Source organism: Homo sapiens, chromosome 12, assembly GCF_000001405.40.
Source record: "Homo sapiens chromosome 12, GRCh38.p14 Primary Assembly".
Lineage (NCBI taxonomy): Eukaryota > Metazoa > Chordata > Mammalia > Primates > Hominidae > Homo > Homo sapiens.
Window position 1 is genome coordinate 67236742 of NC_000012.12, and position 3620 is coordinate 67240361.

The window sequence follows — 3620 nt, forward strand, 5'->3', positions numbered from 1 at the left end:
TTTTATATAAAGAATATTTAACTACTGAATAGAGAGTACCTACTGAACGGTAAAGGGAACCGTAAAGAAAGTCAGAAGAGTAGATGAAGGGAATATCCTTTACCTCTAGGACTAGAGGCCGGTCATTCAAAATACAAAAATATCTGGACACTCTCCCTTTTCCCTAGGGCTTAAATCCAGTCTCATTGGAAAGGTTGTGGGCATGGCTCACAGGATGGCAGACAAGTTTGGTAAGGTGCCCCAATAACAGGTCTTACTGGGAAGCCTCCCCTTAAGTCCTAGAGAAAGCTATTCCCGGGGAGGTGTTACATATTTTTGACCTCTTCATCCTCCTTTGTCTTTCTAGTGGCCTTTACTGATAAAATGTAGCACTCTGTCTACCAGTTGTCAGAGAAAAAATTTTCTAATGTCACAAGCATGGCAGTGAAGGGTGGCTTTGGGGCAGAGAAGCTGCTATGCTTAGGATACTTGTCCCCCCAAATCTCATGTTAAAATTTGATCACCAGTGTGGTAGTGTTGAGAGACAGGGCCTAATGGGTGGTGTTTGGGCCATGGGAGCAGATTCCTCATAAATAGATTAGTGACTTCCCTGGGAGTGGGGGATGAGTTCTCACTCTATTAATTCCTGTAAGAGCTGATTGTTAAGAAGAGCCTGGCACCGCCCCTACCCCTCTTGCTTTCTCTCCCGCTGTGTGATCTCTGCACATACAGGCTCCCCTTTGTCTTCCACCACGAGTAGAAATAGCCTGAGGCCCTCACCGGATGCCCAATATTGAACCTTCCAGCCAGCAGAATCATAAGCCAAATAAACTTCTTTTCTTTATAAGCTACCTAGCCTTAGGTATCCCTTTACAGCAACACTAAATGGACTAGAACTGAGGTGATGTAACTGGTGTAAACTAATGAATCAGTAATTGAATTGAATATAAACAAAGTGATCCCCTTAAAAGGCAAAGATTTTCATGAAATCACAACTAGATGCTACTTGCAAAAAAGTACATCTAAGAAATAAAGACATAGAAGATATAAAAACAAATGTATGTAAAATGATAAACTGAACAAGAATCTAATAAATGGTGGCCTTACCTCATTAATACCAAACAGATACTTAGACATACTATTACTAGAAATAAGAGTAGACATTTCACTTTGATAAGTTCAATTCACAAAGATTGTATAACAAATAAAAAATTGTATGTATCTAATAAGTTAGCCTCAAAATATATGGATGCAAAAATTGATGAAGTTACAAAGTGAAATGGACAAATCCATAATTATATTGTAACATACATTTTCCAGTAACTTATTAAATTAGCAGATAAAAATCAGTAAGGATATAGAAGATTTGTGGGTTTGTTGCAACGATAGACACATAGGTCTCTGGAACCATAAAGAGAACTAACATACCCACATGTATACTAACACTTGATTTATCACATACATAGCATTGGAGTTTAATGAGGGAAAGATGGTTTTTTCAGTAAATGTTGTGGAACAAAGAAAAACACTAATGTAAAGAAAATGAACAATACAGTGGACTAATATTAAAATTATGAACTTCTGTACATCAAAATACATTAATAAGAGACTAAAAGACAAGATACGGAGTGGTAGAAGTTATTTGCATAGCATTTATATTACATATACTGATGAAGAGATTAGATCCAGAGCATTATAAAAAAGACAACTAAATAATAAAAGGTCCAAAATCTTAAACACATAAGAAGAAAATCTTTCTTCACATAGGAAGAAAAGCAAATGGCTGATAAAAGTGTTCAACCTTATTAGTAATTGGGGAACATGTGATTTAAACTAATGTGAGATACAAAATACCCACTTGAGTAGCTAAAATTAATAGTCTGACAATAACTGAAAGTGGTGCAAAAGCAACGGTCATTCATTGCAAATTAGACTGTACACTGGCATAACCACTTTGGAAAACAGGTGTGATCTAGAACGAATGAAGATACATAAGTCGTATGACCCAGTTGAATACCCAGTTGTTTTCTTTCCCTAAGTATCTACTCTATAGAAATGCAGACTTACTTGTATCAAAAGATATACATAAGAATTTCCAAAGCAGCATTTTGTGTAGTAGCCAAATGTCTATTAATAATAGGGTGGATTTAAAAAAGAAAATCTGACATATTTATTTAACTGAATGTTATACAGTAATGGAAAGTAATTAACTACAACTCATATTTACAATGTGGATAGTTGAAATAATGGAATGATGAGTAGAAGAAACAAGCTAGAATAGAATAACATAAAGTTCAAAACCAGGCTAAATGAAACAATAATGTTTCGGATGCATACTTTTGTAGTTTATATATATATAAATAAACTACAGTTTATAAACTAAAGTTTATTAACTAAACTTTATAACTAAACTGTAGTTTATTTATATATATAAACTACAAAAGTATGCATATATATATATGAACAGCAACAAAATGAAAACCGTACAAGTCAAGAATGTGGGAATGCCTTAGGGAGGAAGAGGTTGTGATTCAGTGGAGCATCTGGGGATTTCCGGGGTGATGGCAATATTCCATTTCTATATCTGGGTAAGAGTTACATGAATGCTTTTTAATAATTCACTTAGCTGAACATATATGTTTTTGCACTTTTCAAAAGGTATGTAATATTTCATAACAAAACAGCTTCAAATCCAAAAAATAAACAATTCTAACATAGTGAAGTAATTCTAACAAAGGTGACACATTGTGCTGGATATTTCCCGTTTCTTCTCCCTTTTAATGCTGATAAAAATACTGCAGTTCGCATAATCATATATTCCAGCATTACCATCTCCATTTTAGGGGTATGAACTATTTTTTTGGTCATTGTTATCTTCCAAAACCTGGCACTATGCCTGGTATTCAGTAGGAACCATATATGTTTGTTAGTAAACAGGGGTTCAGAGATGTTAAATGCTTTTCTTCACAAGGGAACGTGTTATACATGCAGCGGAACCTGCAAACCTAGGTTTTCTTAGTCCAAGCTCCATCAGGCATGCCACATCTGCCTCTCCACGTTTCTGCTGTGGCAAACAGAAGCTCCCCCTGATTCTGATGGCCAACTGCACGCACAGCTAAATAGAAAACCTATTTCCAACCATGGACTGTAAATAGCTTGCAAGACTAAAAGGCAACTAGAAAGCTAAAAAACAAAAAAAAAAGCCTTGACTACAGAGCCTGCCCATGATAGGACAAAATGGGAATTGTGCACCTTTTACTGCTGTGATAAACTGACATCAGATAGGGAACTAGCATCCCTTCCTCCAGGCGGCAAGCACTGTCCTTTTGCCCTCACTACAGTATTTGCAGGTGTTATTCTGGAAGCAACAGAAATAATATTAAAATTGTATTTTTTAAGTATTTGAAGTTCCCCCATTTTTTCCCATTGCCTACAGTATGTTTAACTAGTTCATCAGAAGATAGTCAAGGAGTATTGGTGTAATTATTTCAATACAATTAAACAGTCTTTAGGCCTAGTTCCCTGAACATGTTTACATTGTGATAGTAATAAAAATGTGTTTCTTACTGGTTCCTGACATACAGAAATTATACAAAAGTCTAACAGAACAGAAAGGTTTTACCCTGTGCACTGACAGTGAC

General features: G+C 35.6%; 1 annotated feature.

Moving 5' to 3' along the window:
• Positions 411-940: an enhancer, noted in NCBI's record as "NANOG hESC enhancer chr12:67630932-67631461 (GRCh37/hg19 assembly coordinates)". NCBI's record gives its function as "activates a minimal SCP1, AML or CMV promoter by ChIP-STARR-seq in naive H9 embryonic stem cells {active_cell/tissue: H9 hESC(naive)}" and the evidence as "EXISTENCE:reporter gene assay evidence [ECO:0000049][PMID:30033119]".